General features: G+C 40.1%; 1 long non-coding RNA gene across 1 annotated transcript in view, besides 1 other annotated feature; it reads left to right on the forward strand.

Moving 5' to 3' along the window:
• Positions 1-21,892, forward strand: part of LOC105375211 (uncharacterized) — a 75,204-nt gene that overhangs the window by 50,849 nt on the left and 2,463 nt on the right. The window lies entirely within an intron of this gene.
• Positions 5,383-5,583: a silencer, noted in NCBI's record as "peak6452 fragment used in MPRA reporter construct". NCBI's record gives its function as "represses an SCP1 promoter by STARR-seq MPRAs in K562 erythroleukemia cells {active_cell/tissue: K562}" and the evidence as "EXISTENCE:reporter gene assay evidence [ECO:0000049][PMID:32103011]".

Genomic DNA, 21,892 nt, shown 5'->3' on the forward strand with positions numbered 1-21,892 from the left:
ATAGAGCATTGAACCACATGTGAGGCCCTTCTGAGCAGAGGTCCTTGTATGACTGCACACTCCAAATCTTCCAGGATTTGGTCTTCTTTATCTTTTTCCTCCTTCATATGAGGGTCTCCAACCTCAAGGTCACTTCATGGTCCAAGCTGACTGTTGAAGTTCAACATCAGCAAAAGGGGTGCAAAGAAGTCTCCCCTTTGGGCTGAATCAGCTCTCTAGAGGGAGACTTCGCAGAAGCCCAGCTCTGCTTTCATCTCATTAGCCAGAACTTAGTGATGGGACTACACTTAACTCTAAGGACAGCTGGAAAATGTAGTCTTTTTGCTGGATACATGGCCACCCAGCAAGAAATAAGGCTTTTACTAAGAAATAAAGGTGAATGGATATGGGTAGGCAACTAACAGTCCCTGCCATACCAAGTGAAAAAAATATTTAAGCAAACCTTAATTTTTATTTACAAAAATCAGGTTGTATCTGATTTTTCACCATTATCGACATTACTTGCAAACTTTTCAATTGTGTCTTGCTCTAAATTTTTAAAAAACACATCCCTAAATACCAAGTACACTTCTTTGGAATAATTTTCTGTTTATTAAATCAAATTAAATAATTTGTATTTAATTAAGCTTGCAACAATAACAGTTGAGTTCTTTTTAAAAAGGAGGGCAATTGAATGTTTATATTGATATTTAGTCCTGACATAAGCTTGACCTTGTGGGTCAAGGAATAGATGGCTAAGATAAAGATATGTTAAATTATGATTTTCTTTCTTTCTCTTTCTTTCTTTCCTTTCTTTCTTTCCTTTCTTCTTTTTTGAGACAGTCTCCCTCTGTTGCCTAGCTGGAGTGCACTGGCACAATCTTTGCTCACTGCAACCTCTGTTTCCCCGGTTCAAGCGATTCTCATGCCTCAGCCTCCCTAGAAGCTGGGACTACAGGCACGTGCCACCACACCCAGCTAATTTTTTTGTATTTTTAGTAGAGATGGGGTTTCGCCATATTGGCCAGGCTGGTCTCAAACTCCTCACCTCAAGTGATCTGCCTGCCTTGGCCTCCCAAAGTGCTGGGATTTCAGGCGTAAGCCACCATGCCTGGCCTAAATTATGATTTTCTATTCTTGTACAGTATTGCTAATTAATGTGTGACTACATTACATAAATAAAGCAAAAGTGATGTAAGCAGCTTCTGAAGGTTGCTGATTTTTTAAAGATCATTTATGTCTACTTAAATCAATCTACTGCCAATATCTGGATGCATTGTATCATCTTGCATTAATGTTATCTACTTGAAGCATTCCAGATGACTAAATTTAAATGAGAAATAGCTATTGTTCATTTCTGCATTAGCATTTTACATGGCGTATAATCAAACTGCTCTTTAATTGGTGAAAACTAGTTCTCTGTTTGGTGTTAGTAACTCAAGGCTGAAATAACTTGAATTTTCTTAGCTCATTTTTATGTTTCTCACATCTTTGCCAAGCTTATCAAATTATTTCCATGTGAAATGAAAAAAGACTTTACTAGCCTCCACAACATTTTTATTTCAAGTAAATAACTGTGAAAGAATTTACTTATTCAAACCAGTTTTTAAAATTTGTTTTTAAATTACAAGAACTTGTAGTTTATTAAACAACAATTTCTGCATATTTAGATTCTAATGTGAGATTTTTCTGAATGAATTTGGGCACAATTCTATTTCAAAAATGGAACCATTAAAATCTGCGCATTATGAGTAAACTATTATTTATAGAGTATAGTTCTACATATTCTGACATTTTATCTTTCACATATAAATATCTGGGTACATGCACATCTGAGCGTATAAAATTAAACTACCTGAACACCTTTAAAAAATTAGAGTAAAACGTAAAAATGTCTATAAAAAGAAACTCATTAGAGATTTCAAAATATCCGTAAGTGCTAAATAAGGTTTCCAGAAATCAGTGATTACGCTGAAACGTGTCACAAGGGGAACTGTTAACAAGTGTTACTTTGCCAATGGTAGGAAGATTGCCAACCTTTAATTGGCTTTAAAGTTGGTGTTCTATCAATGGTGTATTGTAAAAGGTAATAATGCCCACATTTATTATTTAAGCCTGAAACGGGAACTCTAGATTTGACTAAAGGTGGCACTGTGCACTAGTCCTTCTAATTAAAAATATTCAAATGCCCACATTTTAAATTTGATTAAGATGCACATTATCATGTTTATCATTAACAATAGCAAAACAAAAGATGTTTGTCTACACTTTACAATACACAGTGACCAGTCAACCTTCCCTTTTGGTTTGCTATTCATTAACTGTTTTGTTCTAAGGAAAATGCTGAAAATAGCTCTTGGTAGGTTGATAGGAAGGTACAATTTTATTGAATGAAACCCGAATTTGGCGTGCCATCTTTCTTTGTATTCTGTTAAGGTCAGGGAGGCTCCTCATTAATAAACGCAAATAAGGGATTATCTTATCTTCCAGAATAAACAATGCTCTATCCGTTGGTTTCTGGATTTCTAACCATGAATTACCATATAATGACCCAGAACCTAGGACAGCACAAGAGAGCTCTTGAATAACAATTATGAACAAATAAATATGAGGAAAAACCAGTCAAACACTTAAGATAGAAAATTCCCACAGAAAGATCACTTTCAATATGTGTGAGGCTTCAGAGAGTAGGAAAAAGATCCATTGAAGATTTTTGAGGGAAATCAGCTGAATGTTGAATATCAGCATTCATCTGATTAACCTCGAAGTTTTGTCCTGCTAACTTGAATAGCTTTGCGGATTAGGGATAGTTTACAATTTTTCTGACTCTGGCACATTACATATTCATCAGACTAACATTCTATACCAGGCATGTGTCTTTTATTTTTTTTTTTTAAGACGGAGTCTCAATCTGTCACCCAGGCTGGAGTGTAGTGGTGCAATCTCAGCTCACTGCAACCTCTGCCTCCCGGGTTCAAACAATTCTCTGCCTCAGCCTCCCAAGTAGCTGGGATTATAGGCACCCGCCACCAGGCCCAGGTAATTTTTGTATTTTTAGTAGAGACAGGGTTTCACCATGTTGGTCAGGCTGGTCTCGAACTCCTGACCTCAGGTGATCTGCCCGCCTCAGCCTCCCAAAGTGCTGGGATTACAGGCGTGAGCCACCATGCCCCGCCGCCATGTGTCTTTTAGCCCTCTCCTCTTCCTTCCACCCCATGTGACATTCACATCCTCCATGTTTTAGCTCATTGGCCGTAAGAAAGATGCAAGGCACATGGAGTGACGATAGCTACAAGACCCTTGTGGCAGACCTCGTTGGTTTCCTTCCCAAGGTCTCCTTCCTTGCTGGCAGGGCCATCTATATTCTATAACAGAGACAGAAAATACCCAGTACTCCCATTCCTAGCTTCCCTGTGACCCCAGTTCTGGTTTATGATGTGAGGTGAAGTCTGCTGAGAATTTCTGGAAAGAAGAAAAGAATAAAAGTTTCTCCCCACCCCCCATCCCCAGGCTTTCTGTTTTTAATGTGATCAGGTAAAAGATGTGATGTTTGAAGCCCAGAAGGCCGTTTTGTGACAATGAGGATGAAGCTTAAGATATCGCATAAAAGCCAACTTACTGTCTGTTACCCAGGCTGTCACCCGGGTGGAGTACAGTGGCTTAATCACAGCTCACTGCAACCTCAAACTCCTGGGCTCAAGTGATCCTCCTGCCTCAGCCTCCTGAGTAGCTAGGACTAAAGGCATGCACCAAAAGATAAGCTATCTTTTAATGCCACTTGTTAATTGATTTTTTTACTTGTATCCAAAAGCATCTTATCAATACCACTGAATCAATATAGTTTTCTAATATAAACAGACTGACCTGTGATGACTTAAGTTGCCTTTCAGACTGTGCATAGTATCTACTAGATCATTTCTGAATCCAATTTCTATTATGCTATAGAAAAGTAGTTATCAATCAAAGGTATACATCTAATATGTTGAGATTTAGATATAATCTACATAGAGGGCCAGGTGTGGGTGTGGTTGCTCATGCCTGTAATCCTAACACTTTGGGGGGCCAAGGTGGGAGGATCACTTGAGGCTAGGAGTTCAAGACCAGCCTGGGCAACATAGTGAGACTCTGTTTCTATAAAAACCAAAAAAACCTAGCCAGGTATGGTGGTGCACACCTGTAGTCCCAGCTACTTGGGAGGCTGAGGTGGGAGCATCGCTTGAGCCCAGGAATTCAAGGTTACAGTAAACTATGATTGCACCACTGCACTCCCGCCTGGGCAACAGAGTAAGACCCCATCTCTTGAGAAAGAGAAAACCTGCATAGAATGAGGGTCTGTGAAAATTACTTATCCTGCGTGACAAAATTCACTCATCCTCAACATGAACGCATTTTTTTCTCCCTAGATGCTTCTATAAACATAAGGCAGAATGCCTGTGAACATAAAAATGTCTTTTCCAGAAAAGGTGGATTTAAAAAAGTCTTTGTTAATACAATGTCTTGTGGAATGTAAAATATGAAAAGATGAAAATCATATCCACTAAGAGCTAAAAGTAATGATAATAATTTTAAAAGAAAAACAAAATTGACTTTAATATTTTGTTCATGCAACTCATTCTCATATAATCACAAACTATGAAATAAAAATCTAAGTATTTAAACCTGAGGTTTTGAGGTCATCTCAGGAACATTAGCAAATGCTAAGGAATCTTTTGCATTTATTCTCAGCTAGAAAAAATTGTCAAAAATTTTACTATATCCTGTAAGCATCACAATTATTCATTAGTCAGAAGAATAAAAATGTGGAAAGGATATTAAATGTGTTTAAGAATTGGCAAATCTCTATGCTGGGATTATCACTGAATTAATGGGAGCTCAAATATAAAATATCGACTAAATCACCTCATCTCATAGTCTGTCCCTTCATAGCCTATTCTATGATATGGAAACAATATTATTGACAGTTCCTGAATGTCCCCTGTGAGCTTGGAAAATTTCCCATCATGGCCGGGTGCGGTGGCTCACACCTGTAATCCAAGCACTTTGGGAGGGCAAAGCAGGTGGATCACTTGAAGTCAGGAGGCCAGCCTGACCAATATGGTGAAACCCAGTCTCTACTAAAAATACAAAAATTAGCCAAGCATGGTGGTGGGCGCCTGTAATCCCAGCTACTCAGGAGGTGGAGGCCGGAGAATTGCTTAAACCTGGGATTCAAATGGGTTCAGTCACGCCACTACACTCCAGCCTTGGCGACAAAGGGAGCTGTCATCTAAAAAAAAAAAAAAAAAGAAAGAAAAGAAAGAAAGAAAGAAAGAAAATTTCATACACACTGAAGGTTAACCCCAAGCAATTTATAACATTATATCATTTAGGATTAGGCTAGTTGTTGGCAACATAGACTGAAGTTATAGCAGCTTAAACATACGGTTTATTATCTCTCATAAAATAAGTCCAGACATGGCAGTTTAGGGCTGATGTAAAGACTTCACAAAGTCATCAGGGACCCAAGCACTGCTATGCTTGATGCATGGCTTCTGTCCTTATTCCAGCCGTCATATCTACATTCTAGCAGGAAGCAGAATGGAGTGGGAGGAAAAGGGCACAAATAGGGTAATTGCAATAAAGACACCTTTTCAGAAAAGAAGAGAATGTGAAATGTACAGAGTGAAGAAATCTTTAGTTACTAGTGTCATTCCATCATTGATTTCTTGGTTTTGACAAATGTCCCATGTCAAGGTAAGATGTTAATATTAGGGGTAGCTTGTTGGAAGGTATAAGGGAACTTTTTTATATAGTGGTAAAACTCACCATTTTTAAGTGTCCAATTCAGTAATTCAGTGGAATCAGTGCCTTCACAGTGTTATGCACAATCACCACTGTCCAAGTCCAGAACATTTTTGTAACCCCAAAAGGGAGCCCTGTACTCATTAAGCACTCTCCACTCTCCCTTCTCCCCAGCCCCTGGCAAACCACTAATCCATTTTCTGTCTCTGTGGATTTGCCTGTCCTAGATATTTCATGTTAATGAAATCATACAATATGTGGGCTTTAGAGAGAGTAATCAGAAGACTGGCTTCTTTCACTTAGCATAATGTTTTCAAGGTACGGGAATTCTTTGTACTATGTCTTTTCAACTTTTCTGTAAATCTAAAATTATTTCAAAATAAAAAGTTTATTTAAAAAATCTTAGTAGGCTTATGGTCTGTTTTCTTCTAATACGTTCCCCTTGCTAGTGACTATAGTCAAAGATCAGGCTACATTTGTGTATGCTGAAGCCATCATGTTCATATTCCAGACAGGAAGCAGGAGTGGGAGTTGCAGGACGCATGGGATCATTCAGCAACTTCTGCTTACATCATGGCTGGGGAGTTGTAGTCTTTTAGCTGGGCACATTGCTGCCTGAATAAAACAGTGATCCTGTTACTTACTGAAGAAGAAGGTGAGAATGGATATTGGGTAGGCAACTAGCAGTCTGCCACAGATCTCCAACAAAATTCCTCATGGCCATGAAAATTTGAAGCAAGTTTGCTTGCTTGAAGCTGTTTGCTCTAGGGAGCAACAGCATGAAACTTGAAGTCTCTCTGAAACCTGGCTTTGATACTATCTTTGTTACTTACTAGCTATGTGACCTCAGACAAGCTGACATCTAAACCCTAATTTATCTTGCATAAATGCAGAGAAATAAAATATGCTCAGTACTTGTCAGAGTGCCTGGCCATCATCATCATCATCATCATCATCATCATCCTCCTCCTCCTCATCATCTTCGATGCCTTATCTCCCAGTCCAGAAAATTTTCTGTTACAATATTTTGACTCTTTTTCTTTCTTTCTTTCTTTTTTTGGCAGGGTCTCACTCTGTCTCCCAGGCTGGAGTGCATAGGCACAATCTCGGCACACTGTAACCTCCACTTCCTGGGTTGAAGTGATTCTCCCACCTCAGCCTCCTGAGTAGCTGGGACTATAGGCGCGTGCCACCACACCCAGTTAATTTTTGGTAGAGACAGGGTTTCACCATGTTGGCCAGGCTGGTCTCAAACTCCTGACCTTAAGTGACCCGCCTTCCTCGGCCTCCCAAAATGCTAGGATTACAGGCATGAGTCACCATGCCCTGCCAATATTCTGCCTCTTTTAAGATTCTTTTTTGGTTTTGTTTTTTAATAATTTTTTAAAAAAATTAAAAAGTAGATAAATTTTTAAAAAATAAAAATAAAATAAAATATGCTTAGCAAGAAGATTAACTGTAATAGTAAGTGGGAGCTATTTCATATTTATCTGATGAGAAGTGATTTGAAAAGATAAGATCTAGAGCTGGAGCAGGACTTGGAGGGGTTTCTCAGGAACAGCAGCCTTGTTGTTAAAAACAGGAGCTAATTGGTTCTCACAGATTTCAAAATTTTCTCCAATAGGCTGCTGACTAGCAGTGACAGCAGGTATTCTTGTTTCGTTATGGAAGACCTCAAAGGCTCTTCTGCCATAGTTCTCCATGATGGTTACTTTTATGTGTCATTTTGGCTGGGCCACGGTGCCCAAATATGTGGATTATTCAGGATGTTTCTATGGGAGTATTTTTGGATGAGATTAACTTTAAATCGTTTAAATCGGTGGACTTTGAGTAAAGCAGATTACTTTCTCTAATGTGGATGGGCCTCATCCAATCAATTGAAGAAGCCCTGACTACAACAAAAGGCTGACCTCCACCACCCCCAGAGGGAGTTCTAGTGGCAGATGGTCTTCACACTTGAACTGCAGATTTGGGGTTTACCAGTCTCCGTAATTGCTTTAGCCAATTCCTTAAAATAAATCTCTCTTTCTCTCTTTATATATGTACACACACACACACACACACACACACACACACACACACACACACACACCATCCCCTGTTGGTTCTATTTATCTGGAGAACCCTGACTAATACATTCTCTGACAGAAAACCTAGGGGTTAATTTCACTGTAGTCTCTTTTAGCCTAGATCCCTTAGTAAAACTTACCCTTTTAAGATGTGTCTTAAAACATCACTGTATCTGAGGAAAGCACAGGATAATGACCCAATTCCAACAAGATTGGTTACAATGAGCCTCTGTTCGGATGATTAAGTGGGGAGATAATTAACTCTTAGCTGGGTATAAATGTGCATTGCCTATTCCAACCATGTTTATGATAGACAAGGCCTTAACACATAAAGTAGGGGCTATATAAACACAGTGTTATAGTGACTATGTGTCTTACTCATATTAATTTTCCATATTGAGCTGGTGATTTCCTGGAACGCTTATTAATGTGCATATTAATTGCATTTCTAAAAGCCTTTTGCAGCTTTTAAAACGCAATTTATTAGCAAATATAGTTCACAACCACAAACTCTTACTACTTTCCAACTGTGAATGCATCAATTCATCATTCCTTGATACTTTTTCATCATACATTTCAAAAGTGCATTCTCAATGTTTGGTTGGAAAAACTTCAAGTTGGCACTGAAAACAAATTATTGAGCATGAATGTGATTTTCCTATTCTAAAATATAAAATTATACATGTAATGATGACCCATTTACACAGGTAAACTAGAGTTTTATATAAGTAACTGAGAAAGGAGATATTTACGTTATGATTTTTCTAGTGTTGAATAAGAATTTTATGACTAGGTATGAGCCTTTTCAATATAAAGTAATAATTATTTTTCCACTAAAGATAATATGTAGCTTGTGCATTCAGATGTTTTTGATCACTTAAAGCATACAGCTTTATTTTTAGCTTTTGCATTCTAAAGAGCTGAAATAGTTTTAGGAACTCTCTCATTAATCTTCACAACATTCCCTTTGAGCTATAATGGGAATCAGTCATTATCTTTGGGTAACATAAGGATAATATAATATAGATGTATATTTATTAATATAAGTATTAATATGCTATATGCAGAATACACACATGCTCTGAGTATGTTCAGTTCTTAACATTTTTACTTAGACACAGGTTAAGTAACAGAGCCAAGCAAATGAACCTCTTTCATTAAATCTTTACCATCCGTATCTCACATGCATATGAAGGTTTAAAGACATTTAGTCTTGACTGGGCACAGTGGCTCACGCCAGTAATCCCAGCACTTTGGGAGGCAGGTGGACGGATCACTTGAGGTCAGGAGTTCAAGACCAGCCTGGCCAACATGGCCAAACCCCGTCTCTACTAAAAATACAAAAATTAGCCAGGTGTGGTGGCAGGCGCCTGTAATTCCAGCTACTCGGGAGGCTGAGGCAGGAGGATCGCTTGAACCCGAAAGGCAGAGGTTGTAGTGAGCTGAGATAGTGCCACTGCACTCCAGCCTGGGTAAAAGAGCAAGACTCTGTCTCAAAAATAAATAAAGACATTTAGTCTTGATTACATTTGTATTAAACACACGCACAAAACAGTACTATATTTTTCCTATGTATATAATGCATGGAAATAATCTGGAAGGATGCATATTTAACTAATAACAGCAAATACCTTTGGAAAAGTAGTGCTTGCATCAGGATGGAAGTGGTGTTCTAAGAGACTTTAGTTTTATCCATTACATATATAAACTCCTGGTCTCAAGTGATCCTTCTGCCTCAGCCTCTTGAGTGACTGGGACTACAGGTGTGTGCCACCACACCCAGCTGTTTTTTATAAGAAATTAAGTTATGTATTGTTTTAGTAATTAATTAAAAAAAAAAATTTCCATCCTACCCAGCCTGAGGCAGAATAGGGTCTGGAGGCAGGGAACTTAAGGCTGACTTCATGCTGACTTCCCTAGAACTGAATCAAAAGGAAAACTCCAACTTTCCACACCCAAGTAACAAAAGGATCAGAGGCTACTTCCTTTGCAACACCCCCCACCTTCTGTGTTGCAGATGAAAAATGGAAGGCACCTCTGATTGGTACCCTTCTGCAACCAATCAGACATTTGCGTACGGTGTAACTTTGTAACTTCACTTCAGCCGCACTGGTTGCCTTGTGCCAGAAAATTCTGTAACCCGCGCTCTTGAGCTGCTTGCTGGAGCCTGCTCCCACTCTGTGGAGTGTACTTTTATTTTAATAAATCTATGCTTTTGTTGGTTGCTTTGTTTGTGCGTTTGTCCAATTCTTTGTTTAAAACACCAAGAACCTGGACATCTTCCACCAGTAACAACCAGGCAGGCATAATTAAAATAATTTGTAAAATGAAACTGCTGGGCTGTTTTTCCTCTTTGCAAGATAGAATTACAAACAGTATTTGTCATGCCCATCACCTGGGTCCCTATAATCCTATATCACCACTTTTGACCCTGGCCACCCAGTATCTGGTTTTAGAGACTCTTCTTACCACAGAGGAAAGGGTTTTGTGGAAATTTGTACATGAGGCTTCCTTGTACATATATGATGGCTGAGAAAGAATAAGTAACACACGTATCCCTTAAAGCTCTGTTTGCAGTTTTGTTATGAATAATAATCTGGGTTTAAGTAACAATTATTTATTCAGTGTCTATTTGGTATCTAGGACCAGGGTAAACATTGAACATACAAACATGCATAAAAGTGTTCTTGCTTTTAAGGAAAGGTGGAAGGAGTGGGCAGACATAAACAAAAGAATGAAAATATAGTGAGATGAAAGCTAATGGAAGTCTGGGCCAAGTGCTTGGGCAACACAGAGGATGAGGTAACTAGTAGTGCAGAGGATAAAGGTGAAGAATAAATCAGGGCAGACTCATAGTGATATTTAAGTTGATTCTTGAAGCAAGAGTAGGAGTGTGCTTGGCAAACAAGAAGAAAATGAGCATAACCAGGCAAAAGAATTGTTAGACTCTCTAATCAAAGATCACCAGGAGTACCTGTTGATTATCCAAAGCTGGGTTTATTATGCATACTGAGCAAGGCACAGCACAACTGTGACGGTGTCCCAAAAGGAAGGAGTCAGGGAAGGGTACTTGGGTAGGGGCTGCAGTTAATAATCAGGTGGTTTTAGGTGGCAGATAGTAAGTGTGGTCTTAGCAGGGATTGGTCAGAATATGTAAATGAAGTGAGCTGTTAGGAGAGTCAGTGGTCCCATCTGCACAAGATATGAGTCTGCAAAATTTCAGTTAAGTCAGTTTATCTGTGGTCTTACTTGGAAGATGTGAATCTGAAGGAGATAGGGTTAATTTGATCTTAGATTGTGTGTGTGGCACATTATGGTTTGGTGCAGTTTATCTGTTTTGTGAGTCATGGTGCATTTTCCAAGTTGCATTTCTGTTTCATTTCTAGGATCCATTTGTGCACTAAATATAAGGCCATAATCTGAGAAATATGACACATGAAAATAATGACTCAGTCTGGATGTCAGCCTCAGGGCCAGGGCAGTGATCCATCACAGATGGTTTTTTGTTTCTCATTGCCCAGCAGGTCCATGGGACGGTATGGGGCAGAAGGACCAATCATAGCTCCAAGTTGTATGTCAGAAGGGCAAGAACAAATCTGCGAGATTTCTAATGTTGGAGCTGGAGAAGTGACTCCAAACAGGTTGTCAAAGCAAGGAAAGCCTGAGATGAGGATCTTGAGCCAGAGTAAGAAAGAACAAACAATAGTGATTTAAGCTGAACAAGTGGGATTCCTAGTGATGTGTTTGCCTATAATACCAGGGGTCAAGAAGAATGTCAGAAAATCACACCCCAGATAAGAACTACATAGTCTCTGAAGTCCTTTCCAAATTCAAAACTTAATGGATCAAAAGGATGAAGGTAGAAAAGGGCAAGGTAGAACCGATGGACATAAGGATAAGCAAATGGTCATAAAATATATACAATTTTGTCAAGTGAAACTTCTTATCTACTCACTGCAACATCCCCTCAATGGGTGGTCATCTGCCTTCTGCATGACAACTTTCAAAGAGTTTATATACTACTTTACAATGTGTCCATTTTGTGTGTGTATGTGGGGGTACAGTTTTAATCATCAACTGAGGTAAAACTGGATTATCTGTCATTTCTGCTCATTATTTCTGCCTTGGGAACTATACGGCATATATCTTACCTTCCACACAATAGAGGCCTGCAAATATTTTAAGAAAGTAACCAATATTATTATTTCCCCAATGTGTTTCTTATTCCTGACTAGAGGTCCATTAAAATAATTTCTTGGCCAGGCATGGTGCCTCAATGCCTATAATCCCAGCACTTTCGGAGGCGAGGATGGGAGGATTGCTTAAGGCCAGGAGTTTGAGACCAGCTTGGTCAACATAGTGAGACACTGACTCTACCAAAAAAAAAAAAAAATTCCACTTTTATTCTGATAATTTCTTGTCATGTACATATAGGAATAAATTATAAACATATATGTAAATTTTGACTTTTATGGTTTTAATATTGATAAATATTTTTAACAGTGAATAAACTTTTTATTTTAGAATAGTATTAGATTGATATAAAAGTTGCAATAATATTACAGCGAGTTCTCACATACCCCACACCTAGTTTCCCCTATTATTTATGTCATTATGGTACATTTGTTACAGCTAATAAACTGATATTATTAACTAAAGTCCATACTTTATTCACATTGCCTTAGTTTTTACCTAATGTCTAAAAGTCCACTTTTCACATGACAGTTTTCTGGCCTTTATAGTCCTGGACAAAGCCCTCTTCAAATGCTCAGAAATAAACATGATTCTCCAGATGTAATCTTCCCAAAGAAGATCCCTGGTCAGAAACTAGAAAGTGAATGAAAATAAGAAAGAGAGGTTGGGGCAACCCCAAGAAAGGATACGAGGCCAGGCATGGTGGCTCTTGCCTATAATCCCAGCACTTTGGGAGGCCGAGGCAGACGGATCACCCAAGGTCAGGAGTTCAAGACCAGCCTGGCCAACACAGCGAAACCCTGTCTCTACTAAAAATACAAAAATTAGTTGGGCGTGGTGGTGGCACACCTGTAATCCCAGCTACTCTGGAGGCTAAGACAGGAGAATCGCTTGAACCCAGGAGGCAGACGTTGCAGTGAACCGAGATGGTGCCACTGCACTCCAGCCTGGGCAACAAAGCAAAGCTCTGTCTCAGAAAAGGAAAAAAAAAAAAGAAAGGATGTGAGATCAGCATCAAGGAGACTATGTCTTAAAAGCTGTGCACTGCTCATTGATGGATTCATTTAATCCTCCCAACCATTCAGGAGGTAGGTGCTGTCATTATCTTCATCCTTATAGAGACTCAGATAGGTTAATTGATCTCCCCAGGGACACAGATGTGTCTGACTCAGAAGCTCATCGCATTGCCTCCCCTTGGTATATTTCAAAGAAAGGATGCCACGTCTCTCTCTCTCTCTCTCTTTTTTTTTTTTTTTTTTTTGAGATGGAGTTTCATTCTTGTTGCCCAGGCTGGAGTGCAATGGCGCGAAGTCAGGTCACCGCAACTTCCACCTCCCAGGTTCAAGCGATTCTCCTGCCTCGGCCTCCTGAGTAGCTGGGATTACAGGCATGCGCCACCACGCCCAGCTAATTTTGTGTTTTTTAGTAGAGGCGGGGTTTCTCCATGTTGGTCAGGCTGGTCTCGAACTCCTGACCTCAGGTGATCTGCCCACTTCGGCCTCCCAAAGTGCTGGGATTACAGATATAAGCCACTGCGCCTGGCCAGTATGCCACGTCTCTTATCCATGAACCACTCATTGTTCATCCAACATTGTAACATGAAGGGCATTTAGCCATTCTCTGCTGTGAATTCATTTATTTAGCAAGTGCTTTAGCTCCTGCTATGGGGCAGAAATGACTGCACTTTGCAGAAAGGACTTTGGATAGAAACAAAGGTCAGGCTGGGGCATGTGGCCCCAGCTAGTAAATGTAAGTGTGAAATATCAACACATTAGTGTTAAAGTCAAATTTCTTGCCTTTAACCATCAGACTCCTAAGACCAATAAATGCAGGGAAACTGTGTTCAATTACGATTTGGAGTTGTTAATAAAGATAGACCATAATTAAGAAACCAGTAGTACCCAGGTCCATACGTGTGCTATTTGTACTTCTATCTTAAGAGAGTAGGACATTATTAAGATTCAAGGGTAAACAGGTGACTCTTAATGTGTATCTCAAGGTTGAGAACCACTGGTTTACTGAGTAGGTTCTACATGGGTGAGAGACTATGTAAAAGAAAGTCCTTTTTTCTTTTGATATGTATTGTCCACCTAACTGTTGATGTAAAGTAGTTGTGATATCATAAACACGTACTAATGATGTTGGCCACCATTTACTGAGCCTGTGGTGATGTGGACCAGCCTCTGCATTAAGTGCTTGGCATTCATTTTCTTATTTAACCTTCACAAAGACTCTTGTGGGAGATATCCTAATCACAATTCCACAAGGAGTGAATTGAAAATTAGAAAGATTAAGCACTTACTATTAGTAATTTCGTACTGAGCCCAGGTTTGAGCCTGGATTTGTCTGATGCCTGGCTGGCAGTGAAGAGGCTGTGGTTTACCTGGCTCAAGCATGAGCCATATGAGTCGGGGAACATGTGATGAATGGCTGGCCTCGAGGAGGTTCACCACTGGGGTTTGGAAAATAAAGATATCCTTTAAACATGAAATAGAAATGTTTAGCTAGTTCTGATGTATTAGTCCATTCTTGCACTGCTATAAAGATTTACCTGAGACTGGGTAATTTATGAAGAAAAGAGGTGTAATTGACTCACAGTTCCACAGGCTGTACAGGAAGCTTGGTTGGGAGGCCTCAGGAAACTTACAATCATGGGCAGAAGGTGAGAGGGAAGTGAGCATGTCCTTACACATTGGAGCAGAAGAGAGAGAGCAAAAGGGGAAGTGCTGCACATTTTTTTTTTTTGAGACAGAGTTTCGTTCTTGTCACCCAGGCTGGAGTGCAATGGCGCGATCTTGGGTCACTGCAACCTCTGCCTCCTGGGTTCAAGCGATTCTCCTGCCTCAGCCTCCCAAGTAGCTGGGATTACAGGTGCCCGCCAGCACGTCTAGCTAATTTTTTGTATTTTTAATAGAGACGGGGTTTCACCATGTTGGCCAGGCTGGTCTCAAATTCCTGACCTCAGATGATCCACCCGCCTCAGCCTCCCAAACAGCTGGTATTACAGGCATAAGCCACCGCACCCGGCCTTGCTACACACTTTTAAACAACCAGATCCTGTGAGAACTCACTCACTGTCACAAGAACAGCAAGGGGGAAATCCACCCCTATGATGGAATCACCTCCCACCAGGTTCTTCCTCTAACATTAGGAATTACAATTTGACGTGAGATTTGGGTGGGACACAGAGCCAAACCTTATCACCTGGGATGTAATATTGTGTCATTATACTAAAGTCCAGATGCCAGGCTAGCACTGTAGGTAAAGAAGCCAAGCTTCGCCTAGGGGTGGATTGATGAGTTTGATATAGCTTATTCCAACAAATCTATGATATAGTTTATTCAATCAACAGGGCGATCAGTTTAAAGGAAAAAGAAATAAACTTTACCTACCCATGAGGGTAGGAGGAATGTGAGAAAGAATGAGGAAATTAATACATATAAATGTAGAGAGAAGGAAGACAGAGCCAGGTGGTGTCTTCCCATGATGATATCATTAATACTAGTAATAATAATGATGATGATAGCATTTTAGTCAGTTAGGGCTGCTGCAACAAAGTGTCATAGACTGAATGGCTTAGAAGCAACAGAGATTTACTTGATGGAGTTTTGGAGGTTGGAAGTCTGAGATCAGGGTGCCAGCATGGTTGATTCCGGGATGGCCCTTTTCCAGGTTGCAGACTGCCAACTTCTCAATGGACTCTCACAAGGCAGAAAGAGGACAAGAGAGCTCTCTGAAGGCATTATAAGGGCACTAATGCCATTCATGAGGGCTCCACCCTTATGACATATTACCTCCCAAAGGTCCCTCCTCCTAATATCATCACACTAGGGGCTAGGATTTCAATATATGAATGTAGGGTGTGGAGCGGGGGGTATATATTCAGTCCATTGCAGATAGGAAACTTTTTTGAGTATTTATCATATGCAGGCACTTATGTGAATGTTTCATAACTATGAAATAGGTGCTATATGGATGATAAAAAGCTCAGAGAGGTGAAGTAATTTTCATAAGGTCACTCAGGTCTATCAGACTCAAAAGCTAAGAAACAGTACTATTTCTTTATCCATGTGTGTATCACCTATTATCCAGCCAGGATGTCCTTCAAACCTCCCTCTAAGAAGGCATGAAGACTAAGAAGGATGTGGAGTGAAAGTATCTGGGTGATCTGAGATACAGTTTCACTGGATGGGATTCTCAGGAGGGTGTGGACACCACTGGTGAGAGCCTAGTGCTGTTTGGTTATTGTAGGAGGAGAAATCTGTGCTTTCTCAGCCTCACTGTACTTATGAACTTTGTGTTTTCTTTACGTTCTTTTATCTTCAATCATATTCCTTTGGGAAATTCCAGCTTGCTTTACTGTGCTGAGATAACAATGTTCTTTTGTTCATGTCTGAGCCAGAGAGTTTCTCTGCCAAGGGTAGAGGAAAGGATGTGATGGGATGGGGGTGGGCATGGAGTTAACAGTGGATTTCAAAATGTGAGAAGCTTAAAAGGGCGACCCATCTGCACACACACACTCCTGGGTCCTTTTCTCCTCCATGTACCGTTGCAAGGGAGAGGGCAATGAAAAATGGCGAACATCTTTTTACTTAACCTTGCTGTGTTGTCCCCTCTTGGCTGTAGATGGTCTCTGCAAAACAGGCATCCAGTGGAGCATATGTAGGGTTCTCTGGGGACTGCTATAGGGGTCCTCCCCACTGTTTAGTTCTCTGACTAGAGAGAAGCTAGCCTGATGCTTTTTAAAATCCACCAACCCCCTCTCCTATCCCTCTTTTCCAGTCCTGCCGCCCCTTGATCTTGGGTCCTTTTGCCCCACAGGCAGCCCTCTTGGGCGGGGCACCTCCAAGATGGCTCAAGCCTATCTGTCTTCATCAGGGTCCACTCAGATCCTTGCCAAGCCCAAGAGAAATCTGACAAATTACTCATACAAAAAAATAAAACCAAAACACACAACTGTTTCCACTGACCTATTTGTGTTTTACCAGCTAAGGCTAACATGGTGCCCTCTTTGAGTGCAGCTGTCCTACTACCTCAGCAAGGGAGCAGCCTGCTCCTAAACTGTCCTGTCTCCCTTCCTTGTTGTCACTCCCTGATTTCTTTTTCCTTATGCTCAAATGGGCATAATGGATAAATCAGCAATATCAGGGCATAATTATAACTTCAGCCGGGGAATGACTCTCTCCTCACAGGCCCTTTCCAAATGTACAAATTTACCAGAGATTCTCTTACTGTCCTCCTCATGTGGCTTGGGTTGGGAATGGAGAAGGAAGAAGCACAAAAGAAGCGTGGTGAAGAGAGGGAACTCACCACACAGCTAAAGGATTTCTTGAGAATTATGAATGGGAAGTACAAGCACCTATTTTCCTCAGTTTTAGGATCCAATGTTCTCAGCTTTGGGGTTTTCCCAGCAATCAAGAGGTGACAGGAAAAATCTTATTTAACTTTCGGTTATATGTATATACTGAACATATAGGTGCAGAAATATATACTGAACAGCAAAGGTGCAGAAATATGTTTATCTCAGTCATAGGGTTGATGTGAGAATCAAATGAGATAGTCAAAAGGCTAATAGCTGCAGCCTACGGTATCTCTTAAATTAGTGATAGCGATTCTAGTTCCACAATCTCTTATTTGAAACCTGTAGGGCCAACCATATTCTAAGATTCAGAAGTTTTTGGACTTTAGAATAGTAATTCTATATATTATAGCACCTCCAGGGAGTCTGGAGCAAAGTCTTCTAATCAAACACATTCATATTTCTGCAGTGAAATGTATAAATAGTAACAGTAAATGGTTTAAATAGATTTTAAATAGCCTGACATCAGTTCAGGTGATAATTTGCCACTAAATGAGTTCAGACTAGTCCAAGGTTTTGGCATTTTGAGATATGACAAATTGTCAATTTCAAGAGTTCTTTGGATTTCAAAATTTCAGACAAAACATTGTGGACTTGTATTAAGAATACAAGGTCTTTGTCCTAGGAACTAAAGCCCAACAAACCAAGTGCTAGACTGTAGCTTTCCTTGCTGACAGTTTCCGTCATTGTGTCATTGACCCGGCCCTTCACAAAATAAACTGTGCTTTGTGTGACCCATTCATATTTTCCTTACCCAGCCTAAAACAATACCCTTTCTAAGTGTATCAATTTTTCTCCCACTCTGGCAAGAGCAGTTGGCTTCTAGTAGGCAAAGCCTCTTGGGTGACTATAACAGTACAGAGATTTATTAAAGGGTGCCCTGCTGGTTAACAAGCATTCACACAACTCTGAAACATGCCTAAGTTATAAGTAGGGATGGTCAAACACAAGGCTGAGTTCATTGGGAATTTTGCTCCCCTTAGAGAGTATAGAATACACTGTTTAGTCATTAGCCCCTTTAAAGTGTTTGGTTCTGGCTACTGTCCATTGATTAGATATTCCATGAGCATTGGCCAAGCTCCAGGTAATCAAGGGTTCCTTCTACTTTTGAATGGCTGATTTTTTTTTCAGTTTAAAATATGGTAGAATGAAAACCATAAATTTAATCCTCAGAGTCCCCAGATCTCTTGCAACTATTATTTGACTTGGGATATTTACTACCAATTAGTTGACTCATTTAAAATAATGTATGGTGGAAAGCTTCATTTTATGCTAAAAATATTTTTAATATAAACTTATTATAGCAATGAGAGATATTTTTAGCACAATTTAAAAAGTGCCCTAGAGCTTTAAATTGAAAGAGTATGTTAATAACTTCCACAGAGTTGGCATGAAATATAATTTTCAAGAAACACATGGGATGATAAACACTCAATTCAGAATATTAGTTATCCCTGTATGGAGGGGAATGCAATCTCTGGGAGTACACAGAGCCCTTCTTTATCAATAAGTCAATACTCTGAAAGATTGATTGATAAAGTCAATATTGATAAAGTTTTGATAAGGTTTTATTTTTAAGATGGATTAAGGGTTCATGAGAATTTATTACTCTTTCTTTTCTCCCTTCCCTTCCTTTCCCTGCCCTTCCCTTCCCTTCCCCTTTTCCTTCCCTCCCTTCCTCCCTTTTTCCCTTTCTCCCTTTCTCTCTTTCTTTCTTTCACAGGGTCTCACTCTTGCACCCAGGCTGGAATGCAGTGGCATGATCATGGCTCATTGCAGCCTCAACCTCCCTAGCTCAGGTGATCCTCCCACCTCAGCCTCCTGAGTAGCTGGGACTACAGGCACATGCCACCACATCTGGCTAATTTTTGTATTTTTTGTAGAGATAGGGTTTTGTCATGTTGCCCAGGCCAGTCTCAAACTCCTGGGCTCCAGTGATCTGCCTGCCTCAACCTCTCAAAGTGCTGGGACTACAGGTGTGAGCCACTATGCCTGGCATTTATTATTCTTTATGCTTTTTTGAAAGTCTGAAATATTTCATGATAAATTAAATATAATATACATACAATTTCATGAATTCATCTAGGCTAGGGTAGTGAAGCACAAAATAGACTTCTATATCATACATCTTGATAATGATGAACTATTTACTACAGCCATCCTTCCATGAGTTTGCTTCTCCCGTCCTCCAGTGATCAATGTTTCTTCATCACTGGCTGTCCCCCAAGCTCAGAATTCATTTTAAGAACTAGTCATTAGACAAAGGGAAAGGCCTCTCCATACAAAGTCTGTGAAAAATGATTTCATTTTAATGTGAGGTGTGACATTTTATTCTTAGAAGGAGATTGAAAGCACTCCTGGCCTCCCCTAAGGCCCACTGTGGTGAACATTTTTGCTTTCTTGCTCAGTTCTTGCATTGTCTCCTCCTGGCCTCACCTTTGCATGAGGCAGAAGTCGGTCATGCTATGTGTATTTTTTGTTTTATGCTTCCTTTCTCATGGAAACTATTGAAAATAAGGCATCATTACTGCATGGGAGTGGCCCTTCCCAGAATTCCAGGCTCTTTTCCATAAAAATTTATTTGTGAAAAGAGCCACAGTCCACATTAGTCAGATTTACAAAATGTGGGAACCTAATACTGGGCCTACTTGGTCTTTTCTAAGCAGAAAAATCTCCTTGAAGGCAGATATAAAGCAAACATTTTGAAAATGCTCATTTAGCACTATTTACACAAACTTTAGTAAGTTTAAGAATTTCTCATATTAAAATCATATTCTCCTTTTATGCATCATTATAGTAATTATGTAACACTCCATTATGAGTATAGTTTAGATAAGAAAGGTCTTTGATATCATATACATATGCTACATATGTGTTATATGTAATGCCTGCAATATGATTGTTCATAGAATCTTGGAGAAGTATGTTTATTTGTCTGAAGTAAAATACACTACATTTGAAATCCTTAAATAAACTCATGATTTTCAAAATTTGTTGCTTCATAAAAAAACACTGAAGTTTTGTTGGAGTTGTTTACCTTCTGCCTGTGGGCAAGTCTTTGTGGAATGGGCAGCTCTAAAGCCTTCTAAATCAGTAGCTGTCTTTACTATTAACTCCTTGAAACCGGTGTGGGGAGCAGAACCAAAGTCCCAGAAGTCAAGATCTGGCAAGTGTCCAGAAATGACTGATATCACATTAAACAGAGCAGGGAAGGTAAGGAGGGAGAATGAGAGGCATACGTCCTTCAAGTCCCTTTGGTTTGCTGAGTGAAGACGGGATGCTGATTTCCTTGGTTCCACGGGCAGAGGCCAGGTCAGTCTTGTGTTAATGTGCACAATGGTACAGAAAAGGATCAGTCTGCAGCTGTAAGGAGCTCAGAGTAAATTCAGTACTATTGGAAATGCAATCCAAAATTACGTTTTTCAAAGGATAGGGCAGTTATATTATGTCCAGGAAAAGGAGAAGCCTGTGTTCATTTGTGGAATAACATGATGGTCTATGTTTCTTTTCTTTCTTTTTTTTGAGATGGAGTCTTGCTCTGTCACCGAGGCTAGAGTGCAGTGGTACGATCTCGGCTCACTGCAACCTCTGCCTTCGGGTTCAAGCAATTCTTCTGCCTCAGCCTCTTGAGTAGCTGTGACTACAGGCGCCTGCTGCCATGCCCAGCTAATTTTTGTATTTTTGTAGAGACGGGGTTTCACCATGTTGGCCAGGCTGGTCTCGAACCCCTGACCTTAAGTGATCTGCCTTCCTCGGCCTCCCAAAGTGCTGGGATTATAGGCGTGAGCCACCGCCCCTGGCCAATGTTCTATGTTTCTAAGGGTTAAGTTAGCCACAGTACAGTTGTTTCTAGGCAGTGACCTCGAGAAGAGCCTATTCTAAAATGGAAGCTTTTCTAAGACATTACTACACTGCTGACCTCAGTGTAGTAATCTGACAATTCTTTTAGTCCCTCCAAACTGGACTGGAAATAATGAAAACTAAACTATATAGGGCCTTAGCATTTGCAAAGTGCTTTCTCCCATCCCTAAACGCATGAGTCAGACAGACTCTGGACAATCAATTGGTGGCAGATAGAGTAACTCAATATAGCAGGTTTACTGATTTGGCTTTGATGAGGACTCTGAGCTGTATAACATGTACATTCATTCATTTAAATTATACATATATATATATATATTTTTTTTTTTTTTTTGAGATGGAATCTCACTGTCACCCAGGCAGGAGTGCAGTGGCACAATCCTGGCTCACTGCAACCTCTGCCTCCTGGGTTCGAGTGATTCTTGTACCTCAGCTGCTCAGCAGCTGGCATTACAGGCATGCACCACCACACCCGGCTAATTTTTGTATTTTTAGTAGAGATGGGGTTTCGCCATGTTGGCCAGGCTGGTCTGGAACTCCTGGCCTCAGGTGATCTGCCCGCCTTGGCCTCCCAAAGTGTCGGGATTACAGGCATGAGCCATTGCGCCCGGCCTATTTATTTAAATAACATTTTTTGAGTTTTTCTTAC

Source organism: Homo sapiens, chromosome 7 (genome assembly GCF_000001405.40).
Source record: "Homo sapiens chromosome 7, GRCh38.p14 Primary Assembly".
NCBI lineage: Eukaryota > Metazoa > Chordata > Mammalia > Primates > Hominidae > Homo > Homo sapiens.